The 27636-nt window shown below is 36.8% G+C and overlaps 2 protein-coding genes and 1 long non-coding RNA gene across 3 annotated transcripts in view, besides 2 other annotated features; 1 reads left to right on the top strand and 2 right to left on the bottom strand.

Moving 5' to 3' along the window:
* The window catches only part of ADGRB3 (adhesion G protein-coupled receptor B3), a 754225-nt gene extending 733162 nt beyond the window's left edge, over positions 1-21063 (bottom strand). The window contains exons 1-3 of the mRNA NM_001704.3: positions 20345-21063; positions 18783-18954; positions 16913-17684 (exon numbers count right to left, since the gene is read on the bottom strand). Of these exons, the coding sequence (NP_001695.2) occupies positions 16913-17669 (757 nt within the window). The 5' untranslated portion in view covers positions 17670-17684; positions 18783-18954; positions 20345-21063. The remainder of the gene's footprint in view (positions 1-16912; positions 17685-18782; positions 18955-20344) is intronic.
* Positions 6183-6684: an enhancer, noted in NCBI's record as "NANOG hESC enhancer chr6:69359553-69360054 (GRCh37/hg19 assembly coordinates)". NCBI's record gives its function as "activates a minimal SCP1, AML or CMV promoter by ChIP-STARR-seq in primed H9 embryonic stem cells {active_cell/tissue: H9 hESC(primed)}" and the evidence as "EXISTENCE:reporter gene assay evidence [ECO:0000049][PMID:30033119]".
* On the bottom strand, positions 20378-20455 carry LOC127898563 (uncharacterized). Its single transcript, NM_001414704.1, has one exon. The coding sequence runs from the start codon at positions 20453-20455 to the stop codon at positions 20378-20380; it is 78 nt and encodes a 25-aa protein (NP_001401633.1).
* Positions 21115-21324: a silencer, noted in NCBI's record as "silent region_17313". NCBI's record gives its function as "represses an Ori minimal core promoter by ATAC-STARR-seq in GM12878 lymphoblastoid cells {active_cell/tissue: GM12878}" and the evidence as "EXISTENCE:reporter gene assay evidence [ECO:0000049][PMID:35858748]".
* Positions 22021-23682, top strand: ADGRB3-DT (ADGRB3 divergent transcript). Its single transcript, NR_125872.1, has 2 exons — positions 22021-22160; positions 23289-23682. It is a non-coding gene; the product is annotated as an ADGRB3 divergent transcript (long non-coding RNA).
* Positions 23683-27636: the final 3954 nt, after the last annotated feature.

Raw genomic sequence — 27636 nt, 5'->3', positions numbered from 1 at the left:
AGTAATGTCAAAATCTCCTCCAGAAGGTGGTTTTCTAATCCAAATTCTCTCCTAAATACAAAGGACTACAGAGAGTTAAAAGTCTAACGTCACATTTCTAATTCTCTTGTTTGTAATATCTAAAAGTAAAAGTTTCATAAAATTGAAAATAAAACAGTATGATCTTTTAAAAAATAGAATATGGATTTATATTTTATTGCTAGTTTCCTACATTAAGCCTAAGAATAAATGTTAAAAATGGAGGCAGCAAGCAAGATATTTTTCAATTGACTCTGCTCAGGAGGAAAAAGGCATTCAATACAGGCCAAGACATAAATTATACTTTGGTTACTTTTAACATGCATACCAATCCTTAGGAAAAAATCAGAATAGAGATTTTTAAGTTGATTTTACCAATTAAAGTAAATATATTTAAACTTCAATATGATTGAGAAAGGACTAGTCCAAAGGAACATCCATATTTGCAGAAAAATACACAGAAGAAGAAGTTACTTAGGTGGACAAAATATACTTGCCTTTTCTTGGTTGGTATATCCTGGTCTTCAGGAAACCATCATTTGGGGCAATCACCCTTTGTCAAACAATCTCTAAATAAAACTGATTAGTCCATTTTAAAAGGAAAAAGTGGTGATACTGTAAACAGTGGTTGATATTTGAAATGAGGACTAAAGGAGAATAGACATGTCTTAACTTAGAAATTTTTTCTCATGTGCATGAGTATTCAGAGGAAATAAAGAATTAAAGATGCAATACATTTCTGAGGACTTAACAGTCCAGGAGGCATTTTAATTTCTCTGAGGTCCATTAAAGAAATTGATTACTTTTTATGATGAATCAAAATTTTATTTGTTGTAATAAAGAATTCTAATTGCAGTGAAGAGTTCCAGGATTACCCAATTAATGGAATTTAACATTTATTGAGCCTTTACTACACAGTCCAAACATTATGCTAAGTATTTTACATGCATTACCTCATTCAGTCTTCCAATTATTTCACTAAAATCATCACCACTTCACAGAAAACAGAAACAACAAAAAAACGAAACAAAACAAAACCCTGATGTTTAGAGAAGTGTGTAAAAGTGTCAATGCCACAGAGCTGGAAATTGGGACTGGAACCCAGGGAGTCTGACCCTTAAACACTATGACATGTTGTCTCTTACAACAATCTTTGTTTTACATTAAAATTATCTCCCTAAATTCTGGTACTGAATTTATAGCTGTGAGATGTGTAGAATCTAGTATGTAACAAACTGCCAAGAAACAATCAATGATCAAAGAGAATGTGAGACTGTTAATTTATTAATACATAATATATGTGACTTCCTCAGAAATGTAAAACTAAATTGTTCTTTTTTGAAACTGACATTTGTTTTCACTTTTAGAAACCTACTTGGCAAATGATTTACTCTTCAATCCTAAATAAAATTTTAATTTCTGACATGCAGAAAGATTCGTAGAATACTGATCTGAATGTATTGATTACAAAGACTTCATGTGAATTTTCAAACAAATCAAATTAAAATTTAAAGCTTCCTTTGCAGAAGGTATTTTTATTCTTTGTTATTCCTATGATCTCATAAATCACCCTGGTTAAGAGTATATTTAGTAAATATTTAGTTAGTAAATTCAGTTTAACAGGGAATATATTCTCAAACTATTGAAAAATGATTATCTTTTCAAATAATATATGCATAGACTGCTTGTGAGCATTTAATGCCATATATTCACATATAAGTGTATATGTGGATTTGTGTGTGACAGATCAGATATACAAAGGTGGGAACTAAACTGATAATTCACTCCATCCCTGGATTTTCTTCACAATACATAAGAAGAAAAAAAAAGCAGAAAGTGTTTATTTTTTCATTTTGTTTTAATTTCCTACTTGCTCAATGGCCTATGTGTACTATTCTCTGACTACTGAAGTCTGTTTTATAATTAATGAGCATATCATAATCCAAACTTCTTGAGAATAAGAAAGCCAGGAAATTAAATGGAAGGCACAGCCACGTAGAACAAAGCTTGCCAGCATACCACTCACATTGGGAAGAATTATTTCCTCCCCACTAAGTAACTCACAGAGTCTTATTTAAAGTTTACAACAGCCTACTTTTCCTCTCCCGCCTCTGAGGGGAGATAAGAATACTTCTCAGTGTGACAAAAGCCCACCTACTCAAAGGGGATGTTAATTATTGTTACACAATTAACCTCACAAGAAAATTGTTAAGATTAATGAAGCAGTGCTTACTAAGTGATTACAAGTTCCTCATGACCTATTGTAGAAATATTTGTTTACCAAACACTTACATGTATATTAATAACAGATTCCGTGCAAATTATTTCAATGTCCAACCTATAGACCAACATTTATAAATTATAGCCTATGTATCAAAAAAAAGGAGTAAAATAACAAAGGAGGAAGAGAGGGAGAGAGGGAGGGAGGGGCTGTGAGAGAAATAGAAGAGAGAAAAGACGAAAGAATACAAGAGAAGAAAAGGAAGGAAGATAGGCAGGAAGGAAAGGAAGGACAAAAAGAGAACAGGACAAGTTCTTACCTTTCAGCAAAACCACCATGCTAGAATAAATGTTTTTCTCTTAGTTCTGTAACAATCATGGTTCAACAAAGGACCACAGAACCTTCTCTCTAATGTAGTTTTAAAATAAAGAAAAACTCGAGTATCTTTAAATGTTGAAAGAATAGTCTCCTATAAAAATATACAATTACTGTACTTATTTTAGTATTTATTAATTTTAAGTAGGCTAAAACAAGATCATTTTTGATAAATCATACCTAAAATGGGTTCTAGAGTGCTTTGCTAGTAATATATGCAGCTACCTCAGAGTACAATGTGGAATATGTGCATACATTCTTCCCCCAAAATATCATTTACTGACATGCCCATCACCTTATTACATCTGGATTACAGAACACATCACCAATGTAACTAATCACGTTTTAGCACACCACAACTGTTCCCCAATCCACCTCAACTGGACATTATAGATATGTCAGAATAGGATAGATTAGGCTGTAGTGACACCACCAACCCCTAACTTCTCAGCGTCTCAAAAAAGGAAGTTTTATTCCTTGCTCATGCCTCACAGTCATCATAGACAGGCAAAGGCTTAGAGCAGAGGCTCTTCTCATTTTAGTCACTTAAGAACTCAGCTGAGAGAGGAGCCCCTTCTCTTTAGGTACAGGTATCCATGCTAGAAACAAAGACACTTTCACAGTCTTACTCCAGCAATAAAATGACTCAGATCAGAAGTGAGCAATGTCACTTTTGCTCACAACTCATTAGCCAGAGCCAATCATATAACCCCAAACAACCATTAGTAGGCCAGTAACACAATTCCTACAGAAACCCAGAATGGTAGGAGTCTGTAACAATTTGGTGAAAAACATTCATGACATCTCAATTATCTACTGATATCTAAGTAATGTCAATGCTAATAAGCTTTTTGTTGCTATTTTATTAACATGTCTTCGGTTAAGGATATTCATTATGTGTAAACACCAAAGGAATTAAGCATAATTATTATTGCTCTAATAACTTCAGCTTATTCCAAGAAACTTGAGTTTGAAACTGAAATATTTGAGGGTTATCAAAACAATAAAGGAGAGGCAGAATGAATACCACCCAAATGTATTACATTTATAAAGATTTAAAATTAAGCCTTCTGAATATTTATCAATTGTACTTAAAAATTTTAAAGGATTCTAAATAAATATTCATATTTATCTAATTAAACTAGTATGTGAGAAAAACACATGATTGGAGTAAGCTAATTTGCAGGAGGATTTTTGTTTGGGAGCCCAGGGTGGAAGAGGTCTGGAGTTCAGATGACCAGAGAGAAAGATGGAGAAATGTGGTGCCTGTCTTGATGTCCAACAGGGGGCCTCAGGACAAACTCGCTCCAGACAGAGTCTGAAGAAAGTGTTTATGTTCCAGGAGCAAGAGGTCGGTCATGAGCAGATCTGTTATTTCACAAGTGTGACATAGAGTGGGAAAGCGGGAGTCTCACTGCTGGCTTAAAGACAGCTTGCCTTCATGACACTAAGGTCTGTGCTAAGCAAAAGCAGAGACACTGAGTCCTGGCAGGAGATTGCAAATGCCTACCAGACAGGGTGAGGCATGGTAGAGAAGTGACAGAGAACGCTTATCGGACGCTACCCAGCAGGCATTGAAGATACCTGAGAAGCACCATAGAGAAAGCTGAAGACTTGCATAAGGGGTGGGAGTTAGACTCAGGCAAACTCAATTATTGGGTTGTGTGGGGAAGAGCAGAGTATGGAAAAAAATTAAGCACAGATAGATATGCAGGCCATAGGATCCTAGATAAATTATGAATTTTGTTCTAAGCAAAACACAGTAGGAACAAACTGACAGTCCTTACACATACTTGGTGACCATAAAATTGAAAACATTAGTTTTCAATGGAAGGAAGTTTAAAACATTAATTTCTTGTATGTGGCTACATATGGAGACACTGATTTATAGTTCTGCAGTGGTTTTTCAAGAGGAGTTGCCTCTCCTACCAATATAGGAAGAAAGGAGAGACTAATTAGGCACGGCTTTAGGCTTTCTGCCCACTTCATCCAAAGCAGCTCTGTTTTTAAAAGGCTCTTATATATTGGCTTCCATTTAGAAAAAAAGGTTCCACTGCTAAGGGGAGATAATGTTGTATTAATTCACATCCTACCATTTACTTATTTCTTTTGCCTAAATCAGTTCTTTATTTAGTGGATCAACTTCTGCTCTCCTAAACTCCCACTGCTCCATATTTGTGGTTTCTGTGGTCTCAGAACACAGAGGCCAGAGGCAAGCACATGTAATATTTATTATACCTAGAATTCATTTGTGACCCTTTATTATCAATTGAACACCAAAGTATGATCATTAGAAAATTCCAGGGAAACCACTAAACAGAAAGAACTCATATGTTTTTAAAAGAGTAGATTTTTAATATACTACAAGCTAAAGTATTAAAATGTTCTCTTTCTTGGAAGTGAAATGATGCTGCTCCACGGCTGTTTACTTCATCACATTTGAAAGCAAAGCCTGTTGAAAAATAAAATGGCCATTGCAATTGGCTAATTTCTCAAGCAGCACTTAAAAAATATACAGTTTGCCCTTTAAGTTGCAAAAACCAAGGCCAGCCAAAGAGAACTGACCACAGGCTGACATATCTGTAAAGGAAGCTGACCTCTCTTGGAAGCCAAAATAAACTGACATTTCTCAGTCTACAGTGCAGAGGCAGATCTTTGAAAGTTTGCCAGATTTATGTGGAAAGATTATATAAAGTAAACAGATTTTTGTCTTCCCAAGTTGCCCTCTTTTTACATTACAATTTTTATAAGTAGTAAACATAAGAAGTATTTCCAAAAACATCCAGCAGACATAAAATATCTGTTTTGCATTGCCTATTCAAAAAAAATCATAAAGCTGTTTCAATAGAAGTCTAGAAGAAAAGTCAGCCTTTTAATTTTTTTTCAGTTACTTCTTTTCCTCTCAGGCTCCTTTCTTGATGTGAAAAGCAACAAATGGACAAACAAAAAGGAAAAATAAAAAGCTGTAATTTTCCTTATGAAATTATAAAGGAAAACTTAGTTGCCTTGATTGTTTTCCGGAATAAAACGAAGAAGATACACAAAAATACATTTTGTGTATGTGTTTTGTTTTTGTTTTGTTTTGAGACAGTGAGATCAACAGGCAAAATGAAACTTGAACAGCAACCAAAATTCTATTTTTATTTTCATCTTTCCATTTTTAAAATGATATAAAATTAGACTAAATTCTTAATCTGTCAGGAATTTTTATGTTTTATATGGGAGCCTTGAAGTAATTTGTTTTTGTCAGCTCACACAAATTTCTTTGAACATCTAGGGCAGTGCAAATGTTCCATTGTCTCATCAATACTGAAAATAAATATTATGTATGATGTATATGAACGTATGTGTATTATGCAATTTTTAAAAATTGTGATGCAATTAAAAAAAAACCAACAGATAAATACCGAAAAAAACCTAGAGGGCCTAAACTCAAAGAAGAGTTATTAAGACAAACACATATTGATATTTTAATTTTCAATACTTCATTGTTATTTATTTCTCTGTACACTTGCGCTACTCTGTGCGCCCATCTGCAAAAGGGATAATTATTACATAAGACCTTTAGTACATTAAATGGAAGGACCACAATATAAAACACTGATTTCCGATTTATTTTATATATACTCTGAAATCACCTCACTAACTCAACTATACACCTTGGTGTTAGTCAGGGTCCCAGTAAGAAACCTGTTGTTCTCAAGGTATTATGAGAAGCAAGTACAACAGCATGAATAGTGCTTTGAGTAAGCAAGGAAAGATAGTTCAGTGCCCAGAGCTAGAAACAGTGGGGAGCCATTACTGCCCATAGGCTTAAAGGAGTAAGGCGCGTGGTCACCAGAGCATCAAAGAGGGAGGTCACCTGACAGAAGCTGTAACCTTCAACAGAGGACAGGGGCATGCAGCCAACCCACAGCAATGCAAGGCGAGAAGCCCAGAAAAAGAGACACCCTGACTTTGCTCATTTCTCACCTTCAATGCTATTTCTCAATGTATCACAAGGTAACCAAGAATGCACATTATTTCTCCAAAACATAGATTTCCCCAGACAATGATAATAAAGTAAAAATCCAAGATAGATTGTCTTAGTAAATCTATACAGACTCTGAAGTTGAAATACATGCTCTTTAAATTTAATAATCTTAGACTAAAAATCAATCGTTTTTTTGAGACCTATCTCATATTTGTTTAAATTATGTATACAAAATAGTACAAAAAATCTAATGAATGAAAGCTTTAATTTGTAGACACTAGTCTACATTAAGTAGTATGTCAATCAGACAATGTCTGATTATTGTCCTGAATAAATATCAGGTAATTTTAATGATTAGATTTATCAAATAGTCATTTAGACAGTCAATTAGACTGTTCATCTTTTATCTTATAGAGATGTTGTTGAATGTGTATTCCAAAAGAGTTATGCTTATCTGAAATGATGGTCCCATTACATATTTGTAGATTAGGGTTCCATTAATCAGGTAAGATTTGGACTAAATAGTGTTGAAAGATCTTTATAAGTCTGAATATTTGTGATTCAGTTTCAAAAGTACTCCAGACATAAGAGGGAGTGAGAAAATTTATAGCTCTGAAATTCTTTAGCTTTTCATTTGATCTGATTTGTAGTAAAATTATTTAAAAAGAAAGACCATGATTTTTAGAGTATTCTGCATAATTGACACTTCAATGGGGCAGATAATATGTAACTGACACAGTTATTGCCCATACAAAACAATATGTGCAATAGAACTTTGCAAACTAGAAAGCATTTTCTGAATGATAGGTGTTATTATATTCTTTGTATTTATGAAATCTTTATTTAAATGCTTTAGTTCTTTATTTTCTTAAGGGTGATATGTAAAGATTCTCTTTAAAAATGCATCTTATTGGAGAACAAATTATTAGTGTTTAGGTACATAAATATAGAAATTTAAAAAAAAATTATCAAAATTTTAAAAATCACCTTAAAAAGAAGGAACACCAGGAGAAATGTCATGAAATGAATATTGTGTACTACTCATCTAGTATGAACCACCCAGGAAAGCAAATGTTTCTGTGACATTTCTATTACCTTAACATAACTGTTGTTAAGAAGTAATTCTACCTACATAATCTTCCGTGGTTGACTCCACAATTTTCTTAATGATTTTTAAGCATTAACGTCTGAGTACATTTGCTACATCCTAAATATTGCAATCTGGATCCATCAGCGTTCCAATGTCTTTCTCATGCCCATATTTGCTCTCTTTCGAAAAAAAAAACAAAAAAACTCACACTCCCCAAATAAACTTGTTTTTTAGTAGAAATAATTTGAGAAAATATTTATCCAGGATTAAGTTAGCAGGTAAATTATTTCATTTTACATGATAGAAACAGAAACCAAACAGTAACCATTTTACCTTCATATTTTATAACATGCCTCAGGCATCATCATTGTGTGATAGGGACTGGTTATAGGAAAAATGCACATCAGCAAACATTTAAAATTTCAGGAAGGCTCCTATTCATTCAGTTAATTTTGAGTTAATCAGCTACATGCTCATGTATTTAGTGCATTTGTTACTTATTGAATTTTCCATACACACTAGAAATACTTTATTAAACTTTTACAGCCGTGTAGCTAGGTCATTCTCTGCAAGTGCACAAAATTCCTGGAGGATAGTTGAAAGATAATTGAATGTAGAGCCTGTGGCATTTCATAGAGTCTCATAGATGATATTTTTAAATTTTACCTTATGAAAATATCAGAATTCTCAAATTGATGCTAACCATTTTTGATTTTTTTTAGTATCTAATTATGTAAGCATTGTGGGGGGATATTCGGGATCATTGGTCTCTAATAACTTATCAGAATTCACTGAATGAAATTCCAGCTAAGTCATCCTTTTTTCCAAGTGTTTAAATATGGACTAGCATTTCAAGATAATTTCTTTTCAAAATAGATCTCAAAACATAAACCTCATTTTGCAGAATCCAGCAAAGATTAAAATAGTCGGAAATCATTTAACTTAAATAGCTTTGCTGCCGATCAGCAATGATATTCAAAGGACAGCTTTCCAGGCCCAGGATGATGCACACACCACTATCTTGATCTAAGTCGTGTATTATTAGTCATGCCTTCATCAACACAAAGGTATTGAGATGTTACCTGTTCTTCATCTAATACAAAACAGACACATATCTCTATGGCTTTATGATCCTTTGTTAAATGCTCTAAATTCATAGTCAAGTTCAAATAATTAAGTGGCACTCTAAATCATTATTGATTATCAATTCTCTATGGTTTATAGCCAAAAATAAGAATAAAAACAAAGTTTCCAAAACTGTGCTGATTTGAAGAGAATATTTTATATTAATGTACATTAATGTACAAAAATAAAATTTAAAGGGTTGGGTACTAGATACATTAAATACCATATAATGACATCGTATAATGAAAAATATATAGAAAAATTATAACTGTTTCAAGTGTAAACATAATACTTAAATAAAATTCTACTTCACAAAGAAACATAAGCAGTTTTAAACATAATGAAAAATACCTCAGTGAAAATTTATTTCAATTACGATAAGAGGTTATAAGAAATCCATGCTTAATGTATGCAGGTCTCATTCTAGAGAGCTACTACACCTTCCACACTCAACAACTTCATTATTAACAGTATTCTTTTATTTCAATTTTGCTTTGTTCATTCATATTTTCAACCATACACACATGAAATACGGAAATCCTTCTTAAAGTTTCCAACCCAAATTCCCTTCTCTGGTCCCCAGGATTATACTCATTAAGAATTCCATGCACAAAACATCAAGCACTCAGTAGATTCCTAATCAGTAAATAAATAAATGTTTGCATAATAATAAAAATACCAGAGAAGATATGTTTTTAAACCAATGTTACCAACCCTTCCTCTCCACAACACACACACTCTTACACAATTAAAAGTTTCAAATGGTTCTCAAAACTTTGCAGACCCATATAACTGCTATGTAGCATCACATAGTTACTCAAGTCACTTCTTCTCTTCCTTGCCATTCTCCTTACCCAAAAACAAAACAAAAAATAAAATAAAATGTTCTCCAGTCCTGTATACACAAGTTTTATGAAAGGTAAAAAACAAACAAACAAAACAACAAATAAAAACATATGAAGTAGTATGAAAATTCAGTGTTATCATTTGTATTTATTTATTTTTATCAATTCCCCAGCACTTGGAAGTCCATCTTTTTTTCTTTTTTCTTTTTTTTTTTTTTTTTTGACAGAGTTTCGCTCTTGTTGGCCAGGCTGGAGTGCAGTGGCCCGATCTCTGCTCACTGCAACCTCCTCCTCCTGGGTTCAAGCTGTTCTCCTGCCTCAGCCTCCTGAGAAGTCGGGATTGCAGGCATGCCCCACCACGCCTGGCTAATTTTTGTATTCTTAGTAGAGACAGGGTTTCATCATGTTGGCCAGGCTGGTGCCAAACTCCTGACCTCACGTGATCCACCCGCCTCGGCCTCCCAAAGTGCTGGGATTACAGGCATGAACCACTACGCCCAGCTGGAAGTCTATCATTTTCAATGTTAACTTTTTCCATCCTGGACACAGGTCATCATGTCTGGGTAATTTTATTTTATACAAATGATAAACAATTTTTAATATTTTATGAGAAAATTGCATAAGAATATAGATATGTCTGAAATAGAATGTGAGTTTTAATCAGAAATTGTTTTGATCTACCAGAAACTGAAGAAGGGAGTTTGAGGGAAAAGAAAAGGGCACTGGGCTGGCCACGGTGGCTCCTGCCTGTAATCCTAGCACTTGGGAGGCCGAGGCAGGTGGATCACCTGAGGTCAGGAGTTTGAGACCAGCCTGGCTAACATGGTGAAACCCCGTTTCTACTAAAAATACAAAAAATTAGCCAGGTGTGGTGGTGCACACCTGTAATCCCAGCTACTCAGGAGTCTGAGGCAGGAGAATCGCTTGAACTCTGGAAGCGGAGGTTGCAGTGAGCCTAGATCACGCCATGGCACTCCAGCTTAGGCAACAAGAATGCAACTCCGTCTCAAAAAAGAAAAAAGAAAAGAGCACTGACATTTATCGAGGGCCTAACATAACTTGAGCATACAAGCAATCTCATTTAGTATGACACTCCATTGCAGTAGGTATTATTCTCAGTTTATTAATTAGTCAAGCTCAGTCACTTGTCAAAGGTGCTACTAAGTGGCTGAGTCATTTTAGGGACCAAAGTTTTTCTTATACCAAATCATGCTTCTCATTTCAAGGAAGTGACACACCTAGAAAAAAGTATTATCTCTGATTTCTTATTAGTTAATTGAATCGGGAAGAAATTTCCACAGGCACTGACAGGAACTGAAATATTCCAAGTCATTAATTTTATTAATTTTTTTCATACATGATGTCATTTCCTATCCTCCTGTACCCTGAGAAATAAGCATTACTAGCCTACTCTGAAAAGAAGAAAGTGATAATATAGAGTAGTAGCCATTATAAGGAACAGCAAATTAAAACTCAGCTCTCTTTGGTTCATGATCTTAAAACCCAATATATACAATTTAGAAAAAAAAAATTACAAAATCTTATTTTTAAATGAACACTGATTTCTTTTCCAAGGGCCGGACTGCTTTTATAGGTAATACATACCAGACTGAGCCTAAAGAAAAACTATGATTTATAAATTAGATATATGGAAAAAATCAGCTTAACAATAAAATTGCTTCTGTCAGGAAAGGAAGTAAAAGAAAACATGCAAAAAGCTGGATTTTAAGAGAAGTAAAATTCCTATCTCGATTTTGATAGAAAATGAACTTGAAGTACATTAATCTACAGCTGTTGTAAAAATCCTCTGAAACACATATGTTGGCACATGTGTGTATACATTGTATACATACAAACAAATGCACTTAAGTGTTCGCACCCCTCTTAATATGTTAAATCTATTGTCTACAAAAAATATGCTACCATGTAATGGAGTTTTCTTTCTTTAATTGCTACATACATGAACTACTCCTTAATTGGTGAAATTCTAAGATGGCAAACGGAATAATTGTGGCATTTTGTTATACTTGACCGGGCCTATAATTTTAATAATATTCCATCACTAACATAGATCATAATCAAGAGTGAATAACAGTAACACTGAAACTGATGTATAAATAGTCTTTTCTATTTCTTGGAAAGACAGCTTATGTTTATCTTCAAAGTGTGGAGGAGAGGATTTGCAAAATGTCATTACTGTACAAGTAATGCTAGGGCCAGAAAAGAGAAACAGAGAGAGAAATGAAGTCAAATAAAGAGATAGAAAATGGCTAATTTTCTTACCATTTTTTTTCTAGATGGGCATACATAGCAAGTTCTATTTATCATTGACATTTTAAAATAAACATATAAATAATTAAGAATATTTGTTAGTAAGTCCTTGTTATTTTAAAAACTTTTAAAATAACACCTTGGAGATCAGGAACTGACATCAATAATGCATTAATAAAATTGGAAATTATAAAAATAATAGCAATCTTCCCCTAATAAAGGTGTAAGTAAAAGGTAGATGCTTTCCCAAAGTCATGTACTTCTGTTTTTTTTTACTGTAACCTATTTATTGCTGTCTTTCCTATTGAGTTTTTTTGTTTCATTTATTTCACATTCATTTCAACCAATATTTACTAAAACCATGTTCAGAGTGTGCTGGATAATTGAAAGCCTCAGGGTTTTTTTTTTGTTTGTTGTTTGTTTGTTTGTTTATTGTTTTTATTTTACTTGAAGAACTCAGTCTGGTAGAGTTAGATGGAATTTTTTTTTTTTTTTCTGATAGAGTCTTGCTCTGTCACCCAGGCTGGAGTGCAGTGGTGCGATCTCGGCTCACTGTAACCTCTGCCTCCAGGGTTCAAGCAATTCTCTACCTCGGCCTCCCAAGTAGCTGGGATTACAGGCTGCCACCACCATGCCTGGCTAATTTTTGTATTTTTAGTAGAGAAGGTGGTTTCACCATCTTGGCCAGGCTGGTCTTGAAGTCCTGACCTCATGGTCCACCCGCTTCGGCCTCCCAAAGTGCTGGGATTACAGGTGCAAGACACTGCGACCAGCCGAGATGAAAATATTGATGTAAAATCACGCTGCAATATGGTGAATGCTAGAAAAGAAGTACAGTATGTGCAAAGGTCTGTGGGATCCAGCACAGGGACAGGGCAAACTGTCAGGCTGTTTCTTCAAGGAACAACAGATTCAGTAAATCGTTCTGCATTCTGATAGAGTATGGCATCCTGGCAGTGACATACGAAAAAAAAAAAAAAAAAAAAAAGGAAGATGAAGAGTGTAAAGAGAAAGGTGAATGATGACTCCTAAAGTTATCTGAGGGCAAACAGAACAAAGGTAAAAAGAAATGGGGACAATTAAACTGACATAGACTCAAATCACATTAGATTGCAAATATGTCCCTAAAAATGACAACACATACACACGCAGGCATGAACTAAAGTCTACACAGGCCTATGGTGAGACTTCCTTTGGGGAGTAGAATATCAAGGATTAGCAAAGGCAGAGTAGAAAGACAAATGAGTGTGTGTGTTCAGATTTCCTGGAATCTATACAGAGATCCCAATTTCCTTTCACATAAGTAGCACCATTGATGTCAGTAAGAAACAAAGATTCCATTAAGGCTTATTATGTGATTTAGATATCCTGGTGTAGAATTTTTCTGCCAAAACTGTTTTAATCATTTATTATAAATGAAGTGGTAAGAAATAAGATATTTTTATTCCACATTTTATATCTCAGCTATATAGTCCAGAATTATCTTCAGCAAAAGAGTCCTATAAACTATAGTAAAGACCTCAGGACAATTAAAGATGACTTTGTTAATAAATACCAGTCTTTCTCCTGACTTGTACCTAAAAACTGGTAAACCATAATGTTATTTGAGTTTTTTTTTTTAAGTTATAGCCATTATATGTTAAGAGGTTTTTAAAAAGCTGCCTGAAATAAGACATTTTTATTTGGAAAAAAAAAAAAGGCTTCATTTTGTTAACTTAGTTGGCTTTCACAATTTCATATAAAAATTAGGGAAATAACTGAGTTTCTATAATCACATGATACCCCCAAATATGTCAAATATGATCTTAAACAAGAAATTTTAAAAATGTACTCAAATGTAATACTTTAATGAAGCATTAGTCAAATAATTTACTTTGTATGATATATTCAAGATAACATCTGTAATTGTTGGTGTCACTAAAAACAGCAATAGTTTTCTTGCCGTTCTTTTCTGGCTATGAAATTTTTCAGTACATGAATATATTATTAAAGAAGGTTCTAGCATAAATCCTATCTCAAAGTAGGCATCCCACTCCTGAGAGTCTATTGTTTTTCAATACTAAATACCAAATATTATGTCATAATACCAGTGGACACACTCACAATATTCAACATTTGATATATCTTTGCCATCACCATCAGTATTACACAAAACAATCTGGAATCACATCTACTAAGTGTGAAGACTCTTCAAATTTGTGCCACTTCTATGGTACAATACATGTTGAAGATATTTCTACTCAAGGCAGGCCTTCTGAGTCAGTATTTATTAGTGAATAAAATGGGAGTCAAAGGAGAGTAATCTTGTATTTATTCCTCTGCTGACTTAAGAGACAACCTTTTTTAATAGGAAATGGAAAACACCAAGTAATATAAAATATAAGTGGAATTTTTAAAACCCAATTTTAAAAGCTGGAATTTCATGTTATCATATAAAATAACACTCTGGAATAAAATGAGATATGATTAGTACAGCTATATGTAATGATTAACCTCAAGCTCTATGTCATTATATGGTAGTTTATTTAAAATGGTATTAAATAATTATTTATTAGTATTTTATATATCATAATATCAAATATTGAAGATAGAATATACTTTGCTTAAATTTGATTAAATCAAAGGTCAATAGATTTTCACATTCCTTTCCTACAATGTAGCCTAGCCAAAAAGAGATTATTTAACTGGGGTAAAGAGTGGTACATGTATTTTGTAAGAATTACTTAACAAATACATCACCTACAAATGTGTCATCAGTAATTACTTATCCTTACCTTTCTGAACTCAGAATACCTAAACAAAGAACACAAATTCAGAATGTACAGAATAGAGACTATGTGCTTTTACTGACATAGCATATGTTGTTCCCCTATGATACAAACTTTTTCTAGTTCAACTCTATTAACATCATACTGCACTTTAAATGTAAGTATATTTGTCAGTGAAGGTATTTCTTTTTCATTTTGCCAGTGAATTAATGACAATATACAATTTGTCTCCCATGATTTATACATCTGCTGTCTAAAATCACTCTTATTTGTCTTCACTTACAAAACAAATGGCTATCTAGTAGCTTCTGTAAATCCCAGCATTATCTTAACCCACATCTCGGGATCATGATCAAAAAATCTTTGAAAATCATGCTTAATGCACACACAACAACTTTGTTTTTGTCACTTACCACCTTTCATATAAAAGAGTTGTGACACTGAATTCACTCTCCACTGTCGTCAGTACTCAATTTAACCATTGAAGAAACAGATTTTCTAAACTGTATTAAAACAACAGTAAAACAAACAAAAACCAGCTTCCTATGTTAATGGTTTATTAGCCAGTTTGTAACATCACATTTTTTGTGTGTACTGTAGCTTCTTATTCTAGGGGACACTAATTAGTTTTAAATGGTGTTAAATACCATCCCTGCAGTTGCAAATGCTTCTCTGGGATTTTTTACTACAGAAAATAACTCCTGTAATTTAAAACCACTTTGTTTTCTTCAGTCACAGCTGATAGTGAAACACTGACCTGCAGAAATCTTTAAGGTTTTCACCCCTCTCTCACTGCCATTAGTCTGCATTCATTTTCTAACAGGTCTTTTCCTCTCCTACCATTGCTCTTCCATAATTCCCATCCCTTAAATTGCAGCCAGCAGAGAAATAGCATTAGGCTATTTCGGTTCTCCATCCCTCCACTTCCCCTTACAAAGCCTTGGCTACACTTAAAGAAAATTCTCCAACAACGTGTCAATTTTATATTGGCCACAAAGACAACTTCTGTTGGTTGAGGAAAAGGAAAGAGGGACTGGAGCTTGGCGACTGGAGTTTGGCTGTCCCTTTCCACAGACTGGGATCTTTGTGGCAATCAGAAAACATTTCCTGCATAAGAAATCAACACACTCTCTGGTTTCAGGATTGGGAAGCAAGAACTAATATGTATCAGCAGTGTCCTTAAAGGAGTGGAACACAACATCCATTAACCTTCCAAACAACAAAAGTCATTTTCTCAAAATATGTCACGCTGTCTTGCATTATTAAACATAATCACAATCTCAAATCCTCTGGTAGCTCCCCCACTGGGGATTGGGTGAAAACTATAAATCATTCCTGTACTTTCTTTTTCTTCCGCATTTCCGTTGCACTTCCTCCCCCTCCTTTCCCCCAGCTAGCTCTGAGACATTCCCTCTCTTCGTGTACGTCAACCGGGGACTAAGAAGATAAAGGCAAAAATTCACTCTCAAGAGGAGGATGGGGTCTTAAAGGATCACTATGTGTTTTCATTGCACCCCTCCACCCCGTCCTCAGGTGACTCCAGAACCAAAAGACCTGGAGAGTTTGCGCTTCTAGTGAGTTCCTTCTGACCCAAGAAAGAGCAAGCGTGCGAGATTTTTGCGCAAGCACCTCAAATAAAATTCCAGACCAGGGGAGAAGGGGGGTACACCTGCCTTCATGTGTCAGGAAGTCATTTGGTCCAAACAGGCAAACTATTAAGTTTGCACTACCTTTTAGTCAAGATGCCCCAAGATCAGACCTGGAAATGGGTGGGGAGTGAGAGGGAAGGACTCCGTGGGGATAGGAGAGAGGAAGTAAAGTGGACGTTTTGCTGGGCTGGAACAGAAGGGAGATGTCTATAAATCCACTTCACATGTGGGGCGTGTGTGTGTCACCATGAGGGGCTGCAGCCTGAATAAAGAAACCCCTCTCCCTCCTCACCAATCTCTAGTGCATGCTGGCTCTAGGTTTCTGCATCTTTCTCCTGAAAATTCCACCCTCACTTCCAGCGCATGCTGCTGAGCTATCCAGTCCTCACCGCCCTCTCTAAAACCTTGAAACCTAAAACTAGCTCAAGAGACCTTTATCAGTGAATAGCACAAATCAAATGAATCAAAAAGTGACAATAAAGGATAAATAATTAGGCCTGTGTGTTGAAACAGCACGTTTTAACTCCATCCCCCAAAAGTGCTCCCCCGCTCACCTTCCCCTCTCTTTGGCACTTACCTTCTTTGGGTGGTCGCTTGGCCTCCCTGGTAAGATTGCAGACTTGGGTGGTTTGCAGCTCCTGGGTCAGGCAGCCCTCTGTCTGCTCATTCAGGGGTAACACCACGTTATTTAACAAAATCAGCGACTGGTCGTCGATCCCCCACTCTCCCAAATGCTGAGGGCAGGTGCATTTTGTATACATGATCCCACATGATTCTGTTCTCCCATTTTCTGATTTTAAGCAGCTCTCCAACCAAGTACATAATACATGGCAACCAAACTGGCTTGGGCTGACCTTGTTCAATACCAAAAACTCAAAAAAAGATTTCTGATCTTCTTCCCCTTTTTTCTGTAATCCTGGGAAATTAGTTGGAAATACTCGACGTATTTGAATAAAATTTTTATCATACTGTAGAAAAACGAAAGCATTCTTGGAATTGCAGAGTTGCATTATAGAATGATTCTTTCTTAAAAGATCCTTTATTTTTTCATGGGAAAAATGATCAAACTGATAAGCCAGGAGTGAAAAGTTAGAGCAGCTAAGGTCCTTTTTGGAAAATTTCAGGTAAATGCTATATTTGGTTGGATCTGGATTTTCCAGCGTCCAAGTGCAGTTTGTAAAGTTTTTAGGAAACATTTCACTTACAGAATACGATCCATAAATGACTCCCTTCACCAAAGTTGAACACCAGAAGTCTTGGGCAGCATTAAATCCAAACATAACCAGGAGATAGGTGGAAAATATATAAATCAGCAGGTTACGAACAGCCTTCATCCTATGTCATTTGGCCTGTAAAAATGGCAATGAAAGTAAAATGCAAGTAGGAGTCTACGTGCATTGAGAAAATAAACTCCTTTCAATATTACAGCCAGCTGTTTTCAAGATTTCAGTAAAAAGCCCTTTTTAAAAGAAGGGCAGGTAATTTTTATTTTATAACACAGGAAAATTATCTGTTGCTGTGTGAACAGCGCCCTCATGTGGCCATTCACAATGGTCAAATTCGCAACATTCAATTTAAAAATAACATTTAATAGATTATTAATAGGAATGCCCTAACTTATCTACTAGGATATCCTCCACGTCCATTATCATTCTATCGAATGAAAAGGGAAAACATGGAGTTTTAAAACGTCATAATGTAAATGTTAATTGTCGAAATAGTATTAATCAGTCTATAGTCTATACAACCTTTTCTCTCTCTGTCCTCTGCGGTAAACACTATCATACAAAATCTAATCTGATAATCTGGGAACAGCTGTCATCACATTATTTCTCTCCTCTTAAACGTGAAAAGTAATGATGATAAATTATGGCCACAATTTTAAAAGCACAAATAATAATTTATTACAGATGGAACATCATCTCCCAAATGCCCCACTTGCCTTTGCAGGGGCCACCATGTGAACTGCTCAGAAATTCCTTTGCAAAAACATGGGCATTCATGTGGATTAGTTAATTTTAAAACCATCATTTGAGAAAGGGCATAGATGGATAAATACATAGGGAAGACTTGTTGTTCAACATCACCATTGAGAACCAGGATTTAGGGCAGTCATTTCAATGTGACATGCCCTTTTGGGATACATAAAGTGGATCACTGTATTAGTATCTGTATCCAAAGGTGATATCAGTTAAAAAAAAAAAAAATCCAGAACCATAGTAATTGAGCTGGTTTCAGTCTTTTAATTTTTGAAAAATTATCTTATCAACTGTAATTTAAGGCTTACACATGGTAATAAAATACATTAACATTTTTGTTCCTAGCAGATTTCAATTATTAAATTGCTCCCTTTCCAACAACAACTCCAAAGCTCCTCTTTTCTTTTCTTTTCTTTTTTAATTTTAACCCTGGCTTTGGATAATAAAGTAGTCCTTGGTTATATTTACCTCTGTAAGTTGTTATCCAAAAATAACTTGAATATTTTTCAGCTTTAACCTTTAAGAAGTTATTTCTTAGAATAAATGACACTGCTTTTGTTTGTTTGTTTAGCCTTTGAGCTGATAAAAGTGATGCCAAGTTAATTTTAAAAGTCTTTAGGCTGCAGTCTCTTCCACTGTTCTGTAAACAGAGACAGACATACAGACATATAGATAGTTAAGAGTTTTCATGCCTTTGCCTGGGTCTTCTCTGAATCAAAGGATAAAACCCTCTTCCTTCCCATTGCATAACACACACCAACGCATGCACACCAAATCCAGTGACCGAAGTCCCTGAAGATAGATCTGCATTTTCCAGATTATAATTCAAATTCTATGTCTTGATATAGGCAAACACAGCCCCAACTCTAAATCTCTATATAGCAGCAGTTTAAAATAACATCAGAACTGCTGGGACCATCAAAACAGTGTTCTCTGTTTCAAGCAAATAGCTCAATGAATAATGCATTTTCTTCATGAGAAAATAAAGCCAATGAGCATTTAAAGGTTAAAAAAAAACAGAGAAAGTTGTAAGAAATTCTGGAAATAATTTCCTTTTTTTTTTTTTTTTTTTGGTGTTGCACTTTGCAGGCAATGCAGGTCTGCGCAGTGTTCTTCAGGATAGAGTGTAGGCGTTGAGAGCCAATGTGACAATAAGTGTCTAAATTAGGAATTCCATCCATGAAAGGGGACTTCATTTTATAATCAGGAACTCAAAAAGAGGTCGTATGTCTTTTCCTAATGAAATTGGTACTTTTGCTTTCATTTATTTGACAGTGCATGTCTGCAATGCCGTGCTCATCAATGATCAGAGAGTGAGGAAATAGCTCTGAATTCACTTTAATGCCTGCTCAAGAGAGCGCACTCAATATAATGCTCTTTATTTTTAATCAGTCTGGAGTACACAGTCTTATTTTGTTCTAAATAATAAAAAATAAATCATTACCCTCACCCCCCTTTGGACTGCAGGGCCCGTTCAAAAAGCCGTGTTTCCCTCTTAAAGAAGGGGTGGGGGCGGGGGCAAAGGCTGGCCACGGAGGTGTCAAGGATGTTTTATTTATTTATTTATTTATTTATTTATTTATTTATCTCTTGCTGAGAAGCAAACCAGCATTGAGTTTAGCTATTCTCAAAACTGATTTTCTGGGTGACACTTTAGTTTAGTCGAACATAGACGGCGCCATCACTCCACAGATTTTTCCCCCCAATAGAAGACCCACTGCCTTCTCTTAACTTCCTTTTAACCTAAAATTTTCCCCTCATAAAATTACCCCAATCACACAAAACTGCCAGATTTTCTAGGTCTCTCCGCTTATTCCTTCTGACCCAGCACATCTCTTGAAAACCAGACTTCTCTAACTTTTCAACTGCGGCGTTTAAGTAAATGCAGACAGTCGGATCTGCTCACAGCCTCCCCATCCGCCAGCAACAGCCTTTCCTTTCATTTTCCTCCCTTCTCAAACATTAAGCCCAAAGCTCCACGGTGGCGACCCCCGGCAGAGAAAAGGTGACCCCTGGACCCCCTTCCTTACCTTCCACTCCGAAAGCTCAGGGAGGCTCTTGCTCTAAGACACCAGCACAGGCACGCGTCCCAGCAACAGTGACGGAGAGACTCCCCTTCGGTCCCAATCACCGTTGCCCATTTTCCCCGGCTCAGCTTCCAAAATCAGGATTTATTTTTAAAAATGCATACATACGAAAAGCAAAAGGTGGGGGGTGGGAACCAAAGGGGGGTCGATGAGAGAGAGGAAAAAAAAGCCAGCAGGAGCCCAGAACCTTGCGCCGTATCCAACTGAATCCAACCTCCAAACCGAGGGGGGCTAAAGGGAGGGAGAAGCCCCCCCAAGGGAGACTCTAAGGAACCCCCCAAAATGTAAGTGGCTTAATAGCAAAGATTTGTTTCATAAAAGCTACCCCCAACAAACCAAGAAGCAAAGAAAGCGCTGAGACGAGAAGTGACCGGCGGCGGCGGCGGCTGCTATGGCAGATTTGTTGGGGCGGTGGGTTTATTACAGGAGTATTCGTGGTCGGATCGGAAGGCTCAAGCTTATGCTTTTTCCTCTTTCCGCTTTCCTCCCTCCTCCTCCTCCCCCCTGCAGGTACTGATGGACGGACGGCGACTAAGGAGAGCGGGGAAAAAAATCCTTGGCTGGTGATGTCGGAAAGCTGTTTGAATGCCCAGCGAGGAGGGAGGCGCGAGAGGGAGCGAGATAGTAAAGCTCTGTCTCGGGTGTGCGCGCCGGCGCGCAGTGCTCGCTCTCCCTTGGGCGCGCGCGCGGGGGGTGCGCGTGTCCCGGGAGCGCGTCCGCGCGGCGGCCTCCCGCGTGCTCGTGTGCGCGCGCGTCCCGGGTGCCGCGCGCCCTTCTTATGCACAGCTGCGGTGCGCCCCGCCGCCCGCCAGAGGCTCGGCTCGCGCGGCGCGGCCGCTGCGACTTCCTGGAGTTCTGCCTGCCGGGGGCGCGGGCGGGTGTGTGAGAGAGAAGGCGAAGGGAGCCGCGGGGTGGGAGAGGAGGGAGTCCCGGCGGGAGGGCGGGGGAGAGGCTGGCGGGAGGGGGGCTCCACGGAGCTCCAGCCAGGGCCGCGGTTCGCCTGCACGTCACGGCTACTCAAACCCAAGCACGTCCCGAAAGCGGTATTTTCTGCGTCTGGGAGGTTTTTGCATCCTCAGTTCCCACCGCTGGGGCTGGCGGCGACCAACTGTAAGAGAAACTCACTGGGAGGCGAGGCAGGGGGGTGCGGAGGATGGGAAGGCGACTCTGAAGGGTGGGAAGTGAATGCTGGACTTGATCGTCTTTCTCTTTCTTTCAGCGCAGACCTGTCGCAGCCAGAGAGCTGTCATTTCAGTACCGGGATTCAGAATTGATCCAGTCCGCAGCGGAGGGGGCACATCCCAGCTACCGAGCTGCTGAGTGTCTCTGGCTGGAACAATAGTATTTTTTTCTCTGCGAGGCTGCAATTAACATCTTATTTGTTCTGGCTCCATACAGGCTTTGTCAGGATCGCGGTGCGGCGACCGACGTTGGGCTCTTGCATTGCTTTGTGCTTGGCAATGGAATCATGGTTTCGGGGTCTAAACTTTTGTTTCGTTTTGTAGTCTTAATGTATCTGATTCTTTTTCAAGTTTCCCTAGTAACAGGTTTGGGGACGGGGTGGGAAGAAGCGAGAAAAGGGGTGAAGAGAAAAAACCAGATTATATAGAAAGGAAAAAGGGAAAAGGGATGTTTCCCCACCTTTTAATCTAACTATCTATCTGTCTGTCTATCTATCATCATAGATAGTCATTTTGCCTCCTGGACAGTTGGCTGACGAAGTGTCTGATAAACCAGCTTCAGATACATGCTACAAAAGGTCATTCGCCTCCTGATTATGTTTCTACTTGTAAACGCAGTTGGTGGTTTGCAAAACAAGTGCTAAAATAGTGCAGTGATGTGGTGGGAGGAAACCATAATGGGTAATTCATATAAAGTGCTGGAATCTTCGTAAGGGTGAGTTTCTCGAGCGGCAGGTGAAGTTGAATAAAGCAATTTTCCATCATTTGTTCCCCTCACTCTTGCATTTTTTTCCTCCGCTTGTTTCTCTCCCCTGGGGCGATTATGGATAGCCAAGAACACCATTTTAAAAGAGATTGATAGTGAAAACAGGAAGTTTATGGTCTGTTATCCACTGGAGTTGTTTGAAATATTAAAATTGGTCCTTTACTTCTTAATGCATATTAATAGAGTGACCCTCTTCAAGGCTTTCCCGTCTTAAACGAATGCCTGGGATAAACACTGTAAGGGGAAACAGTTAATAATTCCCCAGCAGGCTTTAACTATTTTCCCAGTAACAAATCACCGGCAAGAGAGCAGCCTGGGTGGCATTTTGGTTTTGTGTCATTTTGGTTCTTTACAATATTTTTTATTCATTTAAGGAAATGTTAAAAGGAAATAATTAGGGTTTATGTCCAGAACAAATTTTGAAACACCGTTTAAGCAACACATTTTCTTTTAAAAACAAAGAACATTGAGCAACACAAAGGAGAAAAACATTTTATTTATTTCAACTTCCCTAGAGATCGTAATTATGATTTTCGCAAGGCAATTTGGTCAGTTCTGTTACTTTATCCAGAGGAAAAAAAAGCATGACAGATGTGGAATAAAAACGGAGGAAAAAATGCTTTGGATGGTTTATACATAAAAAGGAAAGAATGTAATGTGAGGTTCAGTTATACCTCTATTTTGCATCTAGTGATTTCTCATATTATCTTGTAACACTGATTTTGATGTTTCTTAGAAATTCTTAAAGTCATGACACAGTGGCATAAGAATAACAGCTGAAAGGGACAATTTAAAAGCCTAAATCCTAAATGGAAAGGTTCACTTACTCCCAGGATCATTTATATTCAAGTAGAAGTCAGGGCAGGGTCAGAAAAGAAAGCCACCCTTAATAAAGCGCTTCACCCTTCACATTGTTTCTCATAACCTTCATAAATTGCAGGCTACTGAGCTGGCCTGATGATGATCCTTCTGAGATATATTTATAGCAGATGATTTGTGGATGATAACTACGCCAAGCAAGACACTGTCTCCAGTAACCCCAGGCTCGTCTGACTTCCTCAGGGGATTATAATAAAGAATCACAAAAAGAACCCTATATGGACAGTCTGGTCTCTGGACACTAACAACAGCACAATCCAAAGGCAAAGAAAGGAGGAACCACCTTGTTTCATGTCTGCAAGCTGCTCCATATGAAAGCATTGCTGACATGTTGACCCAACAGCAAAAAGAGAGCAGCAGTTTACACACCCTCAGCTCTCTGTCCTTTCCTTTCTATTGATGTTGGTCCACTTTTATGACTGAATACATATTAAAATCACCATTTCAAATTATAATTATCTGCTTTCATTGGTCTCTTTCACAAGTCTATGTCTATATTTATGTTTACATATATAAACACATATACACATATTTTATACATACATATGTATATGTATGCACGCATTATTTGTAAGTACACATACACGTGTGTGTATATATATGTATATGATATGTATATGTGTATTTCAGTTGATACACATATATTTGCTTGGGAAGTTTCACTACATTGCTTTGTATTTCTCTTTTATAAGGTAATGCATTTAATTCCAAAACTACCACATTAATTGTATAAATTGATTATTACATAAGTTTCCTTGATGATTTACAGAAGAACTATTGAGAGGTCAGTGTTAGCACATCAAAATATAGTCTGGTATGGCATTTTAAATTGACCCAGGTATCTAATATTAAAGCCTTTCAAATTTATCTCTCCTGCTATTATTTTATTAAGATTACTTTGGAATGATGAGGTTATAAGTGTGATTTATTTCTGTTTCATCTTTTTGTCTGTATGTGCTAAGTTTAGTCCCTCCACTTTGAGAATAACCCTATAATCCAGGATCATTGCTTAAAATTCAGTATCATTTGCAGAATTCTCATACTCAAATAAGAATGTTTCTAGAATATGTTTACTCAATTTTAGAAAGTATTTTCTCTTTCCTTCTTTCTGTCATAGTTTTTCTGATATTACTGTATTACCACATTCTAAACTCTGTGACTTGTTATTTTCAGTAAGGCTTTAAGAAGCATGGATAGGTTTGTAGGTTATTTCTTGTTAAATATGCCTTAATTTTTTAGTATTTAGTATTAGTATTTAGTTTTTAGTATTTAGTATTTAGTATCTCCCATATATATATATGCACACATATATATATACACATATATATGTACACACATACATATATACACACACATATATATACACACACATACACAAAGCTTTGGAATGTTAATTAAATGATCAAAATATTACAAGATTACATTGTTATGAGAACTTATCCTTAATATTAGCATATTTACTATAAAGTTAAACAACTTCTTCTCCTCTGTCTCCTGTTTATTATCATTATTTTATTATTATTAAAAAAGGAAGTCTCTCAGAAACCAAGCTGTATATCCTCTAGTCTCTATGTAAAAAAACAAATTGGTCATTTTCTACTTGGACATCCCAGAATAGAAAGTACATTGAAGTACTAAAAAATAAAGGGATAGACTTGGGGTTAAGGGAGATGTCATAGAACAGCTATCCTGGGTTAGTTCAAGTGTAGTCCTATTCCATGCTAGGCAAAGTCAAGGTTACAAAAATCCCAGTTGCATCAGGTTTCCATTTTTTATCATTATTTCCCTATACAACGATACAAGTTAAAAAAAAGTCGGTAAATACTTTTGGCCATCAATTTTCAAGATTTCATTGGTGATATTAAGGAAATGCTGTAAGTAGGTAACACATAATGTCATATTTGTGTGCTGTAGAAGTATCTTGGAAAATATGGACTTTAAAACCTCAAAATATGGGTTTGCAATCGAACATACATTCACCCCCAAATTTGACCTTTTTCAGCTAGTTATTTTCTCATATAAAGTTACTATACTTACACCATTATCTTTAATCCCTGAAATTTCAATTATACTAGAAATCAAGATTCTTCATTTTTACTCACGAAACTGACACTAAGTATATACCTCATTAAGGACAAGAAGCTATGAATTCTCTGGACTTCAGTTATCTCACAGAAAAGAGCTTGATTGAATAATGTCTAAGGCTCTTCCTGACATAGTCTAAATAACAGAAGGTGTCTCACAAGAAATGGAAGCAGTGAGAGAAAAATGCAATTAAATCCTAGACTAGAAAGAATCACAATTTTCCCACTCACAGGTTGGAAATGCCTCTCTATTCTATCACAATTTTGAAAACCTCCATAGTTTTACTAGCTTTGCCTTTCTCCCTTGCTATCATCTTCTGAGGTACAGACAGTCCTTTCCATTTTTATTCCTCTCCCACTCTGATAATTTTTTTCTTTGACAGAAGTCCCACTTTATCATTAATGATGACAATAACTAAGGCTGCCAGGAACAGCACATCTGCTGAGCTTTATCAACACCAGGTATTGAAGTCTATGGACTACCTATTATTTCTGAACATTTATTCATGTTCAGTCCTGTTTCTACCAATTCTGATCCACTTATCTCTACCATTTCTCTTCCTGGCAGATTCTCTCATTTTGCCTTCTGGATCTCCATGCTTTTTTATACCAACAAACAAGAGGAAGAATATTCTCTACCCACTTCCTTGACTGAAGCCTGCTCTTTTATGAAGACATGGCATCTCTTCCAACCGTGTCAAACAGATGCAATTTATATGTCTGCTGCTTCCATACCCTGATTAAATGGGTCAGTGGCAGAATCAGTATCCTTAGTCTCCCCTTTGGTTTCAAATATGTACTCCTTATTTCAGTTTCATGCTCACCTTTCTGTAGAGACCAAGGCATCTGCCTTTGCAGCTTTACCTCTTCCTCCAGGTTATAGTTTCCATTCATGGAATCTTTTAGCTGCTGGCTGGCAGTTTTCCTGTCTACCTGACTTCCATTCCTCTTCTCATGACTTCAGCTCCCATGCAGATGTCTTATCCTGACATACTAGCTTCTCCATTCTATTTCTGTGTGTGTGTGTCTGTGTGTTTCCCTACTAGTTCATCCACATTTCCCTATGGTCTTTTTTTTTTATGTTTTATTTTTGCATATGTGTATTTCCTTTTATTTATTTATTTATTTATTTATTTATGTATTTTTTTTTTTTTTTTTTTTTTTTTTTTTTTTTTTTTTGAGACGGAGTCTCGCTCTGTCGCCCAGGCTGGAGTGCAGTGGCGGGATCTCGGCTCACTGCAAGCTCCGCCTCCCGGGTTCACGCCATTCTCCTGCCTCAGCCTCCCAAGTAGCTGGGACTACAGGCGCCCGCCACTACGCCCGGCTAATTTTTTGTATTTTTAGTAGAGACGGGGTTTCACCGTTTTAGCCGGGATGGTCTCGATCTCCTGACCTCGTGATCCGCCCGCCTCGGCCTCCCAAAGTGCTGGGATTACAGGCGTGAGCCACCGCGCCCGGCCTCCTTTTATTTTTTTAATTATTATACTTTAAGTTTTAGGTTACATGTGCACAATGTGCAGGTTAGTTACATGTGTATACATGTGCCATGCTGGTGTTCTGCACCCACTAACTCGTCATCTAGCATTAGGTATATCTCCTAATGCTATCCCTCCCCGCTCCCCCCACCCCATAACAGGCCCCAGAGTGTGATGTTCCCCTTCCTGTGTCCATGTGTTCTCATTGTTCAATTCCCACCTATGAGTGAGAATATGCGGTGTTTGGTTTTTTGTTCTTGTGGTAGTTTACTGAGAATGATGATTTCCAATTTCATCCATGTCCATACAAAGGACATGAACTCATCCTTTTTTATGGCTGCATAGTATTCCATGGTGTATATGTGCCACATTTTCTTAATCCAGTCTATCATTGTTGGACATTTGGGTTGGTTCCAAGTCTTTGCTATTGTGAATAGTGCCGCAATAAACATACGTGTGCATGTGTCTTTATAGCAGCATGATTTATAGTCCTTTGGGTATATACCCAGTAATGGGATGGCTGGGTCAAATGGTATTTCTAGTTCTAGGTTCCCTATGGTCTTTAACTAAAAAGTCTAACCAGTGACTAAACTGCTTCCAGTATTTAAAATTTAATGTTTCAATTCTCCAATTACAACCTTCTGCTTTTATAAACTCACCTCCTAAGTAACCACATGGAATCAAGTCTTTCACAAAATTCAGGTCTTTTTTTTATTATTAGTGATTCCCACCAATTTCTGCTCTTATCTTCACTTTCCTCCTTATACCCTGTGGTAAGCAGCCTCTAACATGGACCCAAATGATCCCTACTTCCTGATATGTGTGTCCTTGTGTAATTGTCTCTCTCTTG

This window comes from Homo sapiens, chromosome 6, assembly GCF_000001405.40.
Source record: "Homo sapiens chromosome 6, GRCh38.p14 Primary Assembly".
NCBI classification, from domain to species: Eukaryota; Metazoa; Chordata; class Mammalia; order Primates; family Hominidae; genus Homo; species Homo sapiens.
The sequence above is the reverse complement of the archived record's forward strand: the minus strand, read 5'-3'. Positions and strand labels throughout refer to the sequence as shown.